Below are 17,519 nucleotides of genomic sequence, written 5' to 3' on the forward strand. Positions count from 1 at the left end.
ACAGGCACCTGCCACTACGCCCAGCTAATTTTTTGTATTTTTAGTAGAGACAGGGTTTCACCATATTGGCCAAGCTGGTCTTGAACTCCTGACCTCAGGCGATCCACCAGCCTCGGCCTCCCAAAGTGCTGGGATTACAGATGTGAGCCACCATGCCCATCCTCTTTTCTCTTTTTTGAGATAGAGCCTCACTGTCACCCAGGCTGGAGTGCAGTGGCATGATCTCAGCTCACTGTAGCCTCATCCTCCCAGGCTCAAGCAATCCTCCCACCTCAGCCTCCCAAGTGTCTGAGACCACAGGCATGTGCCACCACATCTGGATAGTTTTAGTATTTTTTGTAGAGATGGGGTCTCACTGTGTTGCCCAGGCTGGTCTCGAACTCCTGAGCTCAAGCAATCTCCCTGCATCAGCCTCCCAAGGTGCTGGCTGGGATTATAGGCATGAGCCACTACGCCTAGTCTTCTTTTGTTTTCTGATTTGAAAATTAATATGGTATGGTGGCTCACGTCTGTAATCCCAGCACTTTGGGAGGCCGAGGTGGGCGGATCACAAGGTCAGGAGATTGAGACCACCCTGGCTAACACGGTGAAACCCCGTCTCTACTAAAAAAAATACAAAAAGTTAGCCGGGTGTGGTGGCGGGCGCCTGTAGTCCCAGCTACTCAGGAGGCTGAGGCAGGAGAATGGTGTGAACCTGGGAGGCAGAGCTTGCAGTGAGCCGAGATCACACCACTGCACTCCAGCCTGGGTGACAGAGTGAGACTTCATCTCAAAAAAATAAATAAATAAATAAATAAAATAAAATAAAATAAAAAAGAAAATTAATGTGGGTCAGGCACGGTGGCTCACGCCTGTAATTCCAGCACTTTGGGAGGCCAAGGTGGATGGATCACAAAGTCAGGAGATCGAGACCATCCTGGCTAACACGGTGAAACCCCATCTCTACTAAACATACAAAAAATTAGCCGGGCGTGGTGGTGGGCACCTGTAGTCCCAGCTGCTCGGGAGGCTGAGGCAGGAGAATGGCGTGAACCCGGGAGGCTGAGCTTGCAGTGAGCCGAGATCGCGACACTGCACTCCAGCCTGGGCTACAGAGCAAGACTCTGTCAAAAAAAAAGAAAGAAAGAAAGAAAGAAAATTAGTGTGAAATTTATGCCCTAAAAAATTGAATTAGATGCCATTTTGAGATGCATTGTTTTTCTGATTGTGAACCAACATTGTGGGGTTAACCTACACGTTTATTTCACAGGAACTTTACTCTGAGGTGCAAACCCAGTATCTCCCTCAGGTGCTCGGCTGCCTGGTGCAGCCTCTTGCTGAGGACATGGAGGCCTTAAGTTTACCTGAACTCACGCATGCCTTGAAGACGTGTTTCAAGGTGCTCAGCAAAGTCCAGATGCCTCCTTCCTACCTCGACACGGAGTCCACCAGCGGAACCTCGGTGTGTACTCTGAGGGGCAGAAATGGTTCTGGGGGCTAAAAGCAGCTTATGCCTTCCTGGGAGTAGAAAGTCTTTAGGGTTGGTTAGGATAGGAATAAAGATGAGAAGATACCCAGGTGATATGTCAAATATGCTTGTAAAACCCTCACTTTAAAAGGTTTTAGCACCTGGCATGGTACAATGGCTCACACCTGTAATACCAACACTTTCGGAGACTGGGGCAGGAGGATTGCTTGAGCCCAGGAGTTCGAGACCAGCCTGGGCAACATAGCAAGCCTTCATCTCTCTACAAAATAAAAATTAGGCCAAGTACAGTGGCCCACACCTGTAATCCCAGCACTTTGGCAAGCTGAGGCGGGTGGATCTCCTGAAGTCAGGAATTCAAGACCAGCCCAACCAACATGGCAAAACCCCATCTCTATTAAAAATACAAAAATTAGCCAGGCATGGTGGCACATGCCTGTAGTCCCAGTTACTTGGGAGGCTGAGGCTGGAGAATCTCTTGAACCTGGGAGGCGGAGGTTGCAGTGAGCCATCACGCCACTGCACTTAAGCCTGGGCAACAGAGCAAGACTCCGTTTCAAAAAAAAAAATAAATAAAAATAAGGGCTGGGCGCGGTGGCTCACGCCTGTAATCCCAGCACTTTGGGAGGCCGAGGCGGGCAGATCATGAGGTCAGGAGATCAAGACCATCCTGGCTAACATGGTGAAACCCTGCCTCTACTAAAAATACAAAAAATTAGCCGGGTGCAGTGGCGGGCGCCTGTAGTCCCAGCTACTCAGGAGGCTGAGGCAGGAGAACAGCGTGAACCCAGGAGGCAGACCTTGCAGTGAGCCGAGATAGTGCCACTGCAGTCCAGCCTAGGCGAAAAAGTGAGACTCTGTCTCAAAATAAATAAATAAAATAAAATAAAATAAAATAAAATAAAATAAAATAAAATAAAATAAAAAGGCATGGTGGTGTTCACCTGTAGTTCCATCTACTCAGGAGGCTGAGGTGGGAGGATCGCTTGAGCCCAACAGGTTGAGGCTGCAGTGAGCCATGATTGCACGGCTGCACTCCAGCCTGAGTGAGAGCAAGACCCTGTCTCTACAAAAAAAAATTTTTAAGTTTAGCACCCTTTGTTTCACCCATTCTCATGCTACTTGCCTGCTCTGTAACTGCAGTTAATGGTTAGATACAGTTAATAACTATGTAACTACAGTTAATGGGCTAGTTATAACTAGCCCTGCACTGTTTTATGTGTGTGTTTGTGGCATGTGATTTTGGTTATTTCGAATATAAGCGAGATGAGGTACTGGATTAGTTTGCTGGGACTGCCATAATAAAGTACCACAGACTGGGTGGCTTCCACAACAGACACTTGTTTTCTCATGGTTTTGAAGGCCAGGGCCTGACACGAAGGTGTCAGCAAGGTTGGCACCTCCTGAGTGCACTGGGGAAAAAGAGTCTGTCTCATGCCTCCCCCGAGCTTCTGGTGGTTTGCTGGCAATATTCAGCATTCCTCGGCTTGTCCAGGCATCAGCCCAGTCTCGGCCTTTATGTTCACTTGGCTGTCAACCTGTGTGCATGTCTGTCTCTGTGTCCAGATCTCTCCTTTTTATAAATCCAGTCCTACTGGATTTGGGCCCACTCTAATGATCTCATCTTAATTGGATCATCTGCAGAGACTCTATTTTCAAATTAAGGTCACATTCACAGGTATTGGGAGTTAGGACTTCAACCTATTTTTGGGGGACACCGTTCAACCCATAACGTACACTATTCTCTGACTTGCTTTACCTTTTTTTTTTTTTTTTTTGAGACAGAGTCTCTCTCTGTCGCCCAGGCTGGAGTGCAGTGGCATGATTTTGGCTCACTGCAACCTCCACCTCATGGGTTCAAGCGATTCTCATGCCTCAGCCTCCCAAGTAGCTGGGATTACAGGCACCCACCACCATGCCTGGCTAATTTTTTGTATTTTTAGTAGAGATGGGGTTTCACCATGTTGGCCATGCTGGTCTTGAGCTCCTGACCTCAGGAGATCCACCCACCTCATCCTCCCAAAGTGCTGGGATTACAGGCATGAGCCACCACACCTGGCCTTATTTTATTTCTTCATACCTTTATTTTACCCTCAGCTCAGTTTCCTCATTCATATTTGTTAATTTGTCGGAAACAGTTCTCGCTCTGTTGTCCAGAGAATTGTGGCAGGTGATCCGCCCGCCTCAGCCTCCCTAAGTGCTGGGATTACAGGCTTGAGCCACCACGCCTGGCAGAAACAATTCTTAAACAACTTTTTTGAACTCTAAAGGGGTTATATATTTAGACAAAAACACAAGAAAAATAGGCCCAAAAGCCAGCCTCCCCAGAGAGCATGTGGGTGTACCAGCCTCCTCTTTGCTACCCACCGCTCTCCTTCTCCTGCTTTGGGTGCCTCCTAAATTTCATTATACACTTAACACAGGGATTCTCTAGTCTGGAGAGTGATGATTTTGAAAAACAGAATTGAAATACATTCATGATTTCAACTGATACTTAAATAGCTTGGTGTTAAGAGATGCACAATTCACATCTTTTTATTTTTTACAGAGTCCAGTAAAAGGTGAAAACGGCAAAATAATTTTGGAAACAAAGGCAGTGATTCCCGGTGACGAAGATGCTTCGTTTCCCCCTCTGAAGTCTGAGGACAGTGGGATCGGGCTCAGTGCCTCGTCACCGGAGCTCTCTGAGCACTTGAGGGTTCCTCGAGTTTCTCTGGAAAGGGACGACGTTTGGAAGAAGGGCGGGAGCATGCAGAGGACGTTTCTTTGCATCCAAGAGCTAATCGCCAACTTTGCCAGCAAGAACATTTTTGGAGTACAGCTGACAGCGTCAGGAGAAGAAAGCAAGTCCGAGGAGCCTGCAGGGAAGAGGGACAGGGATGGGACGCAGAGCCTGGCAGCCAATGATTCCAGCAGGAAGAACTCTTGGGAGCCCAAGCCCATCACTGTGCCTCAGTTCAAGCAGATGCTGTCAGACTTGTTCACAGCACGAGGGTCTCCATTCAAGACAAAAAGTTCAGAGTCACCATCGTCTTCGCCCAGCAGCCCTGCCAGGAAAAACGGGGGAGAATGGGATGTTGAGAAGGTGGTCATTGACCTGGGGGGTTCCAGGGAGGAACGCAGGGAGGCCTTTGCCGCCGCCTGCCACCTGCTGCTGGATTGTGCCACTTTCCCTGTCTACCTGTCCGAGGAAGAGACCGAGCAGCTCTGTGCAACGCTCTTCCAGCTGCCAGGTGAGAGGCAGCCCTGCCGAAGTCCCTCTTTGGGAATCATACGATGAGGCGATTGACGTGGGTGGAATATCCCCTATCCACAATGCTAGGGACCAAATGTATTTTGGATTTCGGACTTTTTTCAGATTTTTGGAATATTTGCCTTACACTTACCGATTCAGCATTCCTAATCCAGAAATCCAAAATCCAAGAGCTCCAGTGACTGTTTCCTTCGAGCATCATGTCAGTGCTAATAAGGTTTCAGGTTTTGGATTTGGAATTTTCAGATTAGAGATTCTCAACCTATATTTAAAGACTAGCTCAAATTGTGTAAGCCAAGAAGGTGCTATTGGCCTCATTTGTTCCCTTCCTCATTTGTAATTAGTACATTTTTGACTTGTGTCTCACCACATGGCAAAGTGGTAAGGGTGGGGCCTATGTTTTTAAACCCTGGGTGTCCAGCACAGCCCATCAGAAGACCTAGAACATGAGTGGCATTCAGTGATAGTAAATAGACTATTTCATGATGCCTGTTGATAAAGTTTTTTTTGTGTTGGGTTTTTTTGTTTTTTTTTTTTTTTTGAGACAGGGTCTGGCTCTGTTGCCCAGGCTGGAGTGTGGTGACACCAACTCAGCTCACTGCAACCTCCGCCTCCTGGGTTCAAGTGATTCTTCTGCCTCAGCTTCCCCAGTAGCTGGGACTACAGGCACGTGCCACTACGCCCAGCTAATTTTTTTTTTTTTTTTTTTTGAGACAGCGTCTTGCTCTGTCGCCAGGCTGGAGTGCAGTGGCGCGATCTTGGCTCACTACAGCCTCCGCCTCCCGGGTTCAAGTGATTCTCCTACCTCAGCCTCCCAAGTATCTGGGGTTACAGGCACACGCCACCACACCCAGCTAATTTTTGTATTTTTAGTAGAGACAGGGTTTCACCATGTTGGCCAGGATGGTCTCAATCTTTTGACCTCGCGATCCACCCGCCTAGGCCTCCCAAAGTGCTGGGGTTACAGGCGTGAGCCACTGCACCTGGCCCCCTAATTTTCATATTTTTAGTAGAGATGGGGTTTCACCATGTTGGCCAGGCTGGTCTCAAACTCCTGGCCTCATATGATCTGCCCGCCTTGGCCTCCCAAAGTGCTGGGATTACAGGCATGAGCCACCGTGCCTGGCCAATATTTTATATATTGGTTTGCTAGGGCTCCTCTAACAAAGTACCATAAACTGAGAAATTTGTCTCATAGTTCTGGAAGCCAGAAGTCCAAGATCAAGGTGTCAGCAGAGCCATACTCCTCCTCTGAGACCCTGGATGGAATACTTTTTGGCCTCTTCAGCTTCTGGTGCTGGCCGGCAACCCTTGGAGGGCTCCTCACCTTGCAGCTGCATCAGTCCCGTCTCTGCCTTTGTCTTCACAGGGTGTCCTCTGTATGTCCTGTCTTCCCTTGACATGTCCCTCTTACAAGGACACCAGTCATATTGGATTAGGGCCCACCCTAACAACCTCATCTTAATTTGATTACCTCTGTAAGGACCTTATTTCCAAATAAGTCTCACCAGCGGGAGGTTAGCGCACTGCTGTCCAGGTGGATTTCTCAGGTAACTTCCCAGATCTAGGGTGCTGTAGAATCTGCAGACTGGGGACCCATTCTCACGTGGTTCTGCTTGTTTCTGCCTCTCCGGCTGGCTTCCTTTCAGGAGCCGGTGATTCCAGTTTTCCATCTTGGCTGAAGTCCCTCATGACTATTTGCTGCTGTGTGACTGACTGCTACCTCCAGAACGTGGCCATTTCCACTCTGCTGGAAGTGATAAACCATTCCCAGTCCCTGGCGCTTGTCATTGAAGACAAGATGAAACGCTATAAGAGCTCTGGACACAACCCTTTTTTTGGCAAGCTGCAGATGGTGACGGTTCCTCCCATTGCTCCAGGGATATTGAAAGTCATTGCAGAGAAAACAGATTTCTATCAGGTATTTCCCACTGGGAACACTCTTCTTATGGCCTCCTTCTCCCCCTGAGCAAAACTCAGAACCGTATTGCTGGGGATGGGGGCAGTGGCCCACTTCTCTGAGAGTGATATTCTATAGGGCACTGGGCAGAGGCAGTAGCCTTTGGTCTTCCTCTCCCAGCATGTAACTTTCACCCTCCAGGAAAGCTACAGTGAGAGCAACTGGGGCCCCAGTATTCTGGGCCTGCCAGGACTGAGTGGAACCCCTGCCTGGGAGTGGGGTCTGGGTGGAGGCAGGGAGCCCATGACTCCTCCACTGCACTCACCTGGATTTAGCCTCTGCCACATCCAGCAGAGGGGTGGGAAGGTGACGTGCTGGTGGCCTGCCCCTCCCAGGAGGTGCAAAAGCCCTTGACTGGGAGCTGGGGAAAGAGAGCACCCTTTTGCTTGGCCACATGCACCAGAGTGGATAGTGACGTTTCCATGGAGCTAAGCTGGGGAAGGAAGGAGATGATGAGCAGGTCATGGCTCAAGTGCCATGACTCTTGCTGCTTTGACCGAAATGTCGTAGGTTTTCCGGAATAAATGTTTCTTTATTTCCTGAATGTCCTTTGGATAATTTCCAGACTCTAAATGGTTGGTTGTTGTTGGTTTTAAAATAATTTTCACCAGTTATGGTTGTGTTGCTTGGGAGAGGGTCTGTCTGTGGAACTCCTCACACCGCTCAGCTTTGGTTCCATGTGGGACACCATCTACGGTGTCAGGTCCTGGGGGAGCTTTTACTTAATTGCTCATTGACTTTTTTTGTTGTTGTTGTTGAGACGGAGTCCCGCTCTGTCACCCAGGCTGGAGTGCAGTGGCACGATCTCGGCTCACTGCAACCTCTGCCTCCCATGTTCAAGCAATTCTCCTGCCTCAGCCTCCCGAGTAGCTGGGACTACAGGCACCTGCCACCACACCTGGCTAATTTTTGTATTTTTAGTAGAGATGGGGTTTTACCGCATTGGCCAGGCTGGTCTCAAACTCCTGACCTCAGGAGTTTGGGAGGCCCGCCTCAGCCTCCCAAAGTGCCAGAATTATAGGTGTGAGCCACCGTGCCCAGCTGCTTATTGACTTTTGTACCACATTTCTTCTTCCTGCTAGAGTTGAGTCACATTAGATCTTGAATAGACAGAACTTGAAACCAGGACTGGAACCGCTATAAGCAGCAGTGATTAAGCAAGTGTCATCTTGGCCCTACATAGATCAGAGATCAGAAAATTTGGCATATTTACACTATATATAGGCACAGGGGAGAAAAAAGAAGAAAGAATTGAGATCATGAATCTTTGGAAAGGTACTCATAGAATAAAAGTGGCAGCATTAAATACATTCCTTTTATTTTGGGGCAGTGAGGGAAGCTTTTCCAAGTTCTTACTGAAGCCTTGATTTTTACTTTCATTTTCATGTAGTACATATTCAAGTACTTACCATTTGCCTGGCACTAGAGCATACTTTTCTTTTTTTTTTTTCCTTGAGACAGAGTCTTGCTCTGTTGCCCAGGCTGGAGTGCAATGGCATGATCTTGGCCTCTGCCTCCTGAATTCAAGCGATTCCCCTGCCTCAGCTTCCCTGGTAGCTGGGACTACAGATGTGCGCCCTCACACCTGGCTAATTTTTGTATTTTTAGTAGAGACGGGGTTTTACCATATTGGCCACGCTGGTCTCAAACTCCTGACTTCAAGTGATCCTCCCACCTCAGCCTCCCAAAGTGCCTTACAGGCGTGAGCCACCGCACCCGGCCAAGAGCATACTTTTTTTATTGACATGTAATATTGTATATATATATGGGTACAATTTGATATTCTGACACATTTATACATTGTATGATGATCAAATCATGGTAATTAGCATACCCATCACCTTAAGCATTTATCATTTCTTTGTTGTGAAAACATTCAGAACCCTCTCTTCTAGCAATTTGAAATACACAATGCATTATTGTTAGCAGTAGTCACCCTACTGTGCAGTAGAGTACCAAGATTTATTCCTTGGAGCACACTTTTATGTACTGTACAGTTCTTGAGAGTTGAGGACAGCGGCAGCTAGTGCCTGTCCCTGTTGCAGATGCTGGAACTAGAGACACAGCAACCTTACCCATAGCCAGGACGTGCCCCCAATTCTCAGACTCCAGACAGGGCTGTTGTCTGATCTTTCAGCCTTTTTTTAATCCTGCGGGAACAGCTCACATACCAGAGTTCCTGCTTCCCACAGTGCAAACAAGAAAAGGTCAGATAGCCCAAGGGTGCCCTGACCTTTCTTATCAGGTAGTGTTGGCAGATTTCAGATAACTAAGACAACACCCAGAACAGAGGAGTAGAGTAAGGTTTAAACATGTGAAGGAAGGCCCGGCTCGGTGGCTCACGCCTGTAATCCCAGCATCCAGCACTTTAGGAGGCTGAGGGCTGCTTGCTTGAGCTCAGGAGTTCGAGACCAGTCTGGCCAACACGGCAAAATCCCATGTCTAAAAAAAAAAAATACAAAAATTAACCTGGCATGGTGGCACACACCTGTAGTCCCAGCTACTTGGGAGGCTGAGGTGGGAGGATCACTTGAGCCAAGGAGGCAGAGGTTGCAGTGAGTTGACATCGTGCCACTGCACTCCAGCCTGGGGCACATAGTGAGACCCTGCCTCAAAAAAATATATATGAGGGAGTAGGTATGGATTTGTGATCGGCATCAACTCTCAAAAACCTTGCAAAAAAATTTTTTAAACCTTCCGGAAGGGAGTCTCTTGCATATATATTTGCCATAGTGACAGCAAGGAAGTCGGGGGGGGGGCGGTCTACGTAGTCAAAAAGTTATATATCAGAATTCAATTGTAATGTGATTGTTGGAAATCACTTTCCCTTAGAGAAAAAGTAACAAAATAATGGTTAGGAGTTTGAGCCAGTCAGTGGTTAACTTGATCTATGCAGAGAAAGACGGTTTTGTTGAGTAGAAATAAATGGGCCAAAGAAGTTATTTGATCTAAGTTATGCCTAAAATACTCCAGTCTATGAGATATAAACTTCATATAGTCTATGAAGTATAAGAATGTCTTTAGAAATTTAGAAATTTCCCTCCCGGAAGTGGGGACCAGCCCTCCTTCTGGGTCTCACCCTTGTTGGGGCAGGCACACTGGCTCCTGCTCCCTGCCACTTGGCAAGGGGCTGTAGCCCTTTGCAGACCATGCATGTTTAATGAGCTCAGTTCAGGGCTGGGAAGATGGAGGACACGATTTGGGGGTATAATAGTGTTTTGAAAGTGAGGCAGGCACCTGCCACAGCGTTGTGCAGGGAAAAGGGAAGAGTCAAGTTAGTGGAATTAAAGCTGGTAGGCGTGGCTCTTTATCCATGCTGCGTGGTAACCAATTCGAGCAGACCCCAGAGGTGACCAAGTGCTGTGGAGCTGAACCCCAGAATGAGTGATCTTGACAACCACTGTAAATTCACCAAACTCCCCAGAGGGTACATCTGTGCATTCCCCAGTGCCTGCTCGGCACCTGCCTGTTGAAAGAATGCTTCAACCCCTTTGGTCCAGTTTCCAGTTAATTCTCTTTCTGAAAGTAATGTTGAGGTTGAGGCAAGAGCTGCAGTGTTCTTAGTCGGCCAGAAACCTCCAGGTTTGACCTCCTATAACATTGCCTGCTGCCTGGATGACTTTGGTGGGTTTTTCCTTTTTTTCTTTTTTCTTTTTCTTTTTCTTTTTTTTTTTTTTTTTGAGACAGAGTCTCACTCTATTGCCCAGGCTGGAGTGTAGTTGCATGATCTCAGGATCTCAGCTCACTGCAACCTCCGCCTCCTGGATTCAAGTGATTCTCCTGCCTCACCCTCCCAAGTAGCTGGGATTACAGGTGCCCGCCGCCACACCTGGCTAATTTTTGTATTTTTAGTAGAGTTGGGGTTTTGCCATGTTGACCAGGCTGGTCTTGAACTCCTGACCTCAGGTGATCTGCCCCACTTCGACCTCCCAAAGTGCTGGGATTACAGGCATGAGCCACCGCTCCCAGCCTTTGGTAGGTTTCTTGCTTTATTTGTTGGTGATTTGTCTCTGAGCATGGAGGATTCTCACATGGCAAGTATAGGTGAGATCCAGTATGTCGGGGCTGGGACTGACTGAGTGAGGATGTGAGCGGATGTTGCCTGTGTTGACCTGGTCCCCCACCGCCTGCCTTTTCCTTGTCCCAGAGGGTGGCTCGTGTGCTTTGGAATCAGCTGAACAAAGAGACCCGGGAGCATCACGTCACCTGCGTAGAATTGTTCTACCGGCTGCACTGCCTGGCCCCTACGGCCAACATCTGCGAGGACATCATCTGCCATGCCCTCCTGGACCCTGACAAGGTGAGCCTTTCTGGCCGCCACCTCCATCCTGCAGCACCCCGGCCCCTGCTGTACGTGCCCTTAGCCAACTGACATCCATTCGGTCGAAGTCTTTCTGGGGCTGAGTGGACATCGTGATTAATAAAATAAGCAGAGGTGTTCTAGGATTTCAGTACTGGAAGGCCACTAGAAGCATGAGCCATTCTTTTTACAGCCCTGGAAATGTGGTTTGTGACCATATTGAGGCTCACCAGGGAAACCTGCCCAAACTTGCTGGAAGGACTTGCAGGGCTTCTGCAGGTGTTGGCAAAATAGGCAGTTGTAGGGAATTTATTGTCCCTTTAAGAACTTATTGAAGCAGGGCGTGGTGGCTCACACCCGTAATCCCAGCATTTTGGGAGGCTGAGGTGGGAGAAATTGAGGCCAGGAGTTCAAGACCTGCCTGGGCAACATAGTGAGATCCATCTCTACCAAAAATAAATAAATAAATAAGGCCAGGTGCAGTGACTCACGCCTGTAATTCCAGCACTTTGGGAGGCCAAAGCAGGCGGATCACCTGAGGTCAGGAGTTTGAGACCAGCCTGGGCAACATGGTGAAACCCTGTCTGTACTAAAAATACAATATTAGCCGGGCATGGTGGCACATGCCTGTAATCCCAGCTACTCGGGAGGCTGAGGCAGGAGAACCACTTGAATCTGGGAGGCGGAGGTTGCGGTGAGCCGAGATCGCGCCACTGCACTCTGGTTTGGGTGACAGAGCAAGACTCCGTCTCAAAAAATAAATAAATAAAAATAATAATAAACCAATTTTTTTAAAAGAATATATTTTATTGAGAATTTATCGTCCTGGGTCTCCTTTCCAGTCTGTTGTGTCTCCTCGTTCTTTAAGACACTTGGGCCTGACACTTGCAAGGAAGCCATGCTCCTTTGTGTTTTCCTTTGGCTGCAGACCACAGGGGTGACCCTGGACTCTAATACTGAGTTCTGAATGTGCCGCTGTGTTAAAGTGAACAATCAGAGAGAGAGGATGCAGGTTCTCCTTTTCCTTCTGGCCGAATCAGTCAAAGGAGAATGCAGCGTCTTTGCTGTGGTTGCTGTCAGTTCTGCTGAAGTCTTTGATCTATTGTTTAAATGGGGTTTATGGTGACTGAAGACAGTGGTCAGTTACAAAACCAAGTTCCTCACTCCCATGTATCTCCTCATCAAGGGAACAAGGCTGGAAGCTCTGTTTAGATTTTCCGTGATCTGGCATCTGACAAGAGAGATCCAAGGCAGTCGAGTAACATCTCACAATCGCTCCTTTGATAGGTGAGGCGGCCTTCGTTATGATCTACCGTTAACTCACGAGGAAACTCCACAGAGGTGCCTGCCCAACGTGTGGGGCTGGGGAGGGAGAGGAGCGTGCAGTTGAAAACATGAACCCATATGACCGGGTGTGGTGGCTCACGCCTGTAATCCCAGCCCTTTGGGAAGCCGAGGCGGGCAGATCACTTGAGGCCTGGAGTTAGAGACCAGCCTGGCCAACATGGTGAAACCCCATCTCTACCAAAAATACAAAAATTAGCTGGGCGTGGTGGTGGGCACCTGTAATCCCAGCTACTTGGGATGGTGAGGCAGTAGAATCACTTGAACCCGGGAGGCAAAGGTTGCAGTGAGCCGAGACTGCGCCACTCCACTCCAGCCTGGGTGACAAGAGCGAAACTCCATCTCAAACAAAGAAAAGCTGACCCCTGCACATGACCCCTCCGAGCACAGCCAGTGGTTCCCATAAACCCCTAAGTGAATTTAGGCCAGACACATGTGAACACATGTTAGGAATTTTCTTAATTTGGTTGGGATGTGAGGAATCCTGGCATGCCCCGGGATCACCTGTGCAGCTTTTACGGCATGCCCCTATGAGGGGACTTTGCAGGGAGGTCAGATGGCCTAGACCTCCCCTGGAGCAGTGACCATACTTGGTGTGTGTGCTTGTCCCATCACTGTCTCATGCTTAAGAGGTGAACTTGATTGCAGCCCATTGTATTCCACATTGTTTTTCCCGAGTGCCTCTGAAACTCTAGGTGTGAGGCCAGGCACTCGGCCTTAGAGACACCAGCTGATTCTGATGCCTGAGGCCCAGGCCCAGACTCAGATATATAACCCATTTGGGGTGAGGCCTGAGCATTGGGATTTTAAATGCTCCCACTGGTGATTCCAACGCGAAACCAAAGTTGAGTCCCCATTGTGCTCATCTACTTGGGTCTGGAAGTCCAGCTTGGGTGGAGGTCCTAGGGTACCTGTGTTGGGTGACGCCCTATGCCCAGTGTCTGCCACGGTGCCTGGCGCACAGGGGTGGCTGCGAGTGAACTCACTGGTGTGTTTCCCACTGCAGGTCCTTGTTTGTCGTGCTGGACAGCCTGGCCTGCACGGATGGTGCCATCGGTGCGGCAGCCCAGGGCTGGCTGGTGCGTGCGCTCTCCCTCGGGGACGTGGCTCGCATCCTCGAACCCGTGCTCCTGCTGCTGCTGCAGCCAAAAACCCAGAGAACCTCCATCCACTGCCTCAAGCAGGAGAACTCGGCCGGTGAGCAGCCTGCACAGGACCCGAGGGTGAGGGAGGAATGGGTGGGGGGACTGGACCTCAGCAGTGATAGCTGAGAGACTGAGGCCCACTAGGGGGTTTTGTTAGATGCAAATGGTACTTTGTAAATTGTGAGGACTTCGGCAATTTAAGGACCTAGTGATCTAGCATTTAGAACTATTAGGGAGTGGGTTTGCTGTTTTCACTGAAAAACCAGATTGTTTTGTTATTAAAAAAGGAAAGTTGGCCAGGCACGGTGGCTCACAACTGTAATCCTAGCATTTTGGGAGGCTGAGGCAGGTGGATCACCTGAGGTCAGGAGTTCAAGACCAGCCTGGCCAATATGGTGAAACCCCGTCTCTACTAAAAATACAAAAATTAGCCGGGCGTGGTGGTACATGCCTGTAATCCCAGCTACTCAGGAGGCTGAGGCAGGAGAATCTCTTGAACCCGGGAGGTAGAGATTGCAGTGAGCTGAGATGGTGCCACTGCACTCCAGCCTGGGTGACAGAGAGAGACTGTCATTCATAAATACATAAATAAATAAATAAAATAACTTATTTGTGAACCTTCAACTACAAGGTAAGTGGTTTATTTTCTATCTGTGCTCTAAGATTCTTTTAGACTATAAAATCTTGTTAATCAGATTATCAGAAATGAAGAAGAAATAAACCTTTCAGTTCAGAGAACTTCCAGAGGCATCTTTAACACAAACATAAAAGAATATAGGTAGAAATTAGGAAAGAAAAGAAAAACTAAATAAGCCTGATGAGTCAATTAAACTTCAGTGATTAATATCTAATGCATTTTATGAACTAACATTACTTCCTACAATAGCTGTATTTAATGACTTCACAATTTTCTAAGGGATGGTTTGCAAACTTTGAGTGAGTTTGTTTAGCTTGAGGCAGAAATTTAAAAATAATAATAAGAAGAAGTACTGCATTCATTCATTCCAAGAAAAGTAACAGACAAGGCTATAAGAAGGTTGTAGTGACCTAGTCTAAGAAGTAAAAACCAAGGCCCAGAATGTGGCAAGACAAGGGTTAAAAAGTAAAGAAGGGCTGGACGGTGGCTCACCCCTGTAATCCCAGCACTTTGGGAGGCTGAGGCAGGCAGATCGTGAGGTCAAGAGATCGAGACCATCCTGGCTAACACGGTGAAACCCCATCTCTACTAAAAATACAAAAAATAAGCCAGGCATGGTGGCAGGGGCCTGTAATCCCAGCTACTCGGGAGGCTGAGGCAGGAGAATGGCATGAACCCAGGAGGCAGAGGTTGCAGTGAGCCAAGATCACACCACTGCACTCCAGCCTGGGCAAAAGAGTGAGACTCCATCTCAAAAAAAAAAGAAAGAAAAGAAGAACAAGTTTTCCTCTGCCTAGCAAGCTCACTTCAAAGACAGTTATAAGCTAACGCTGTTCGAGAAGTTGAAACCAAAGGAATAAGCTCCAGACACCCCCCTCTCCAGATCAAGGGTGAAGGAAAAAAAGGACAAATGTCTGTATTTAGCCAGTTCTTGTTTTTTCTTATCCTGTATTTATCTTAATCTTTTTTTTTTTTTTTTTTTTTTTGAGACAGAGTCTCGCTCTGTCACCCAAGCTGGAGTGCAGTGGTGCAATCTCGGCTCACTGCAACCTCCGCCTCCCGGGTTCAAGTGATTCTCCTGCCTCAGCCTCCTGAGTAGCTGGGATTACAGGCATGCACCACCATGCCTGGCTAATTTTTTTTTCTTTCTTTCTTTTTTTTTTTTTTTTTTTGTATTTTTAGTAGAGACAGGGTTTCACCATGTTGGTCAGGCTGGTCTCGAACTCCTGACCCCAAATGATCCTCCCGCCTCAGCCTCCTAAATTGCTGGGATTACAGGCATGAGCCACCACGCCTGGCTATCTCAATCTTATCTTACAGAGAAAAGCAACCCATTAGCTAAGTAAGCAGAGGTGTGTGAAATGGTTTCCTGTCTTTATAAGGCTCCTGGCCTAAACCTCTAACCTCTGGTTTTCCTTTAGGGGAAAAGCTGGCTGCCCTATCAAATAGGAAACATTTTATTGTTCCACATTGTAAGAAAGTAAAACTGAAAGAAGTGTAAACAAAGAACCTTCTTAAAAGTTTGGCTACTATTCATGGCAGCTACATTTTTTAGTATTTCTTTTTCTTTCTGTTTTAAGAGGAAAGCTCTATCTCCACAGTTCCTTGGGCATTATTATTATTATTATTATTATTATTATTATTATTATTGAAGAAGAGTCTCACTCTGTTGCCCAGGCTGGAGTACAGTGGTGTGATCCCAAGTCACTGCAGTCTTTGCCTCCCAGGTTCAAGCAATTCTCCTGCCTCAGCCTCCCAAGTAGCTGGGATTACAGGCGCTGGCCACCACAGCCAACTAATTTTTTGTATTTTTAGTGGAGACGGGGTTTCACCATGTTAGCCAGGTTAGGTCTCTAACTCCTGACCTCAAGTGATCCATGCGCCTCTACCTCCCAAAGCGCTGGGATTACAGGTGTGAGCCACCATGCCCAGCCTTAGTTTTGGTATTTTTAGTAGAGATGGGTGTTTCGCCATGTTGGCTAGACTGGTCTTGAACTCCTGAGCTCAAGTGTTCCACCCGCCTCAACCTTCCAAAATGCTGGGATTACAGGCATGAGCTACTACGCCTGGCCTTCCTTGGGCTTTAAAAGTTCCCCAGCACTACCTTGCTGCTTCCTCTAATCTGTGTTTCCTGCTGACCACAGAAATGGTCTGCTACCTCCGAATAGGAGAGAACATCTTTGCTCTGCCATTTTCTTTCTCTGAAAAAAATGATAAGTGTCCTGCTTACCCCACCCTATTTCTGTAATCCTGTAGAAATCTATTTTTAAAATACTGCTATGCACTTCAAGCAGCTCATCAATTTCTGATGTCTGATTCTTCTTCATTTCTTGATCTTGCTTAATGTCCATGGCATAGAGTTTTTTTAAAGCTCTTTTGTGTGCCTTTATCTTGTTTGATCATCCTAAAAACCTTATGAGAATGACAGATTTCTTCTTTTCTTTTTTTTTTTTTTTTGAGATGGAGTCTCACTCTGTGGCCCAGGCTGGAGTGCAGTGGCGCAATCTTGGTTCATTGCAACCTCTGCCTTCCAGGTTCAAGCCATTCGCCTGCCTCAGACTCCTGAGTAGCTGGCATTACAGGCACGCGCCGCCACGCCCAGCTAATTTTTGTATTTTTAGTAGAGATGGGGTTTCGCCATGTTGGCCAGACTGGTCTTGAACTCCTGGCCCCAAGTGATCCGCCCACCTCAGCCTCCCAAAGTGCTAGAATTACAGGTATGAGCTACCATGCCCGGCTCATGGCATAGATTTATTGAACACTGCTTATTTAAAATGTTTGGCAATATCAAAGACTTTTGACTCACTAATTTTTTTTTCCTTTTCTTCTTTTTTTTTTTTTTTTAAATAGGCAGTGGTCAGTGGCCTATTTGACTTCTCCTAAAAAAGACTTCAATATTTTAAAGTGTCATACGTTTTCTGATTATAGAAGTACTAACATGGTTAGTTTTAAAATGGAAATAATGAGGACATAAAAACCTAAGTGGAAGTCCTTTGTAATGCTAGTTGATAGAACTAGGGATTGTTAATGGCTTGCAGGTAGTCTCCCAGACTTTCCTAGTGGCTGTGTATTATACATACTCTCTCCTAACTGGGCTCATTCTACATAATACTCTTCTGCTGCTTGATTTTTTTTTTCCTTTCTTTTTAGAGACAGGGGTCTCACTCTGTTGCCCAAGCTGGAGTGCAGTGACACCATCATAGCTCACTGCAGTCTCGAACTCCTGGGCTCAAGAGACCCTCCTGCCTCAGCCTCCCGAGTAGCTAGGACTACAAGTGTGTGTCACCATACCTAGATAGCTTTTAAATTTTTTCTAGAGATGGAGTTTTTCCATGTTGCCCAGGCTGGTTTGGAACTCTTGGGATCAAGCAATCCTCCTACCTTGGCCTTGGCCTCCCAAACAATCCTCCTACCT

General features: G+C 47.5%; 1 protein-coding gene across 5 annotated transcripts in view, besides 1 other annotated feature; it reads left to right on the forward strand.

Annotated features, from left to right (window-relative positions):
• The window catches only part of DOP1B (DOP1 leucine zipper like protein B), a 137,451-nt gene that overhangs the window by 69,613 nt on the left and 50,319 nt on the right, over positions 1 to 17,519 (forward strand). For all 5 annotated transcript variants that reach the window (XR_937581.4, XR_007067795.1, NM_001320714.2 and 2 more), the window contains 6 exons: positions 1,250 to 1,441; positions 4,014 to 4,698; positions 6,368 to 6,639; positions 10,826 to 10,978; positions 12,165 to 12,265; positions 13,329 to 13,519. Coding sequence is in view for 3 of the 5 variants with exons in the window: in NM_001320714.2 (NP_001307643.1) it covers positions 1,250 to 1,441; positions 4,014 to 4,698; positions 6,368 to 6,639; positions 10,826 to 10,978; positions 12,165 to 12,265; positions 13,329 to 13,519 (1,594 nt within the window). In the remaining 2 variants the exon portion in view is untranslated. The remainder of the gene's footprint in view (positions 1 to 1,249; positions 1,442 to 4,013; positions 4,699 to 6,367; positions 6,640 to 10,825; positions 10,979 to 12,164; positions 12,266 to 13,328; positions 13,520 to 17,519) is intronic.
• Positions 13,503 to 14,002: an enhancer, noted in NCBI's record as "H3K4me1 hESC enhancer chr21:37612237-37612736 (GRCh37/hg19 assembly coordinates)". NCBI's record gives its function as "activates a minimal SCP1, AML or CMV promoter by ChIP-STARR-seq in primed H9 embryonic stem cells {active_cell/tissue: H9 hESC(primed)}" and the evidence as "EXISTENCE:reporter gene assay evidence [ECO:0000049][PMID:30033119]".

Source organism: Homo sapiens, chromosome 21, assembly GCF_000001405.40.
Source record: "Homo sapiens chromosome 21, GRCh38.p14 Primary Assembly".
NCBI classification, from domain to species: Eukaryota; Metazoa; Chordata; class Mammalia; order Primates; family Hominidae; genus Homo; species Homo sapiens.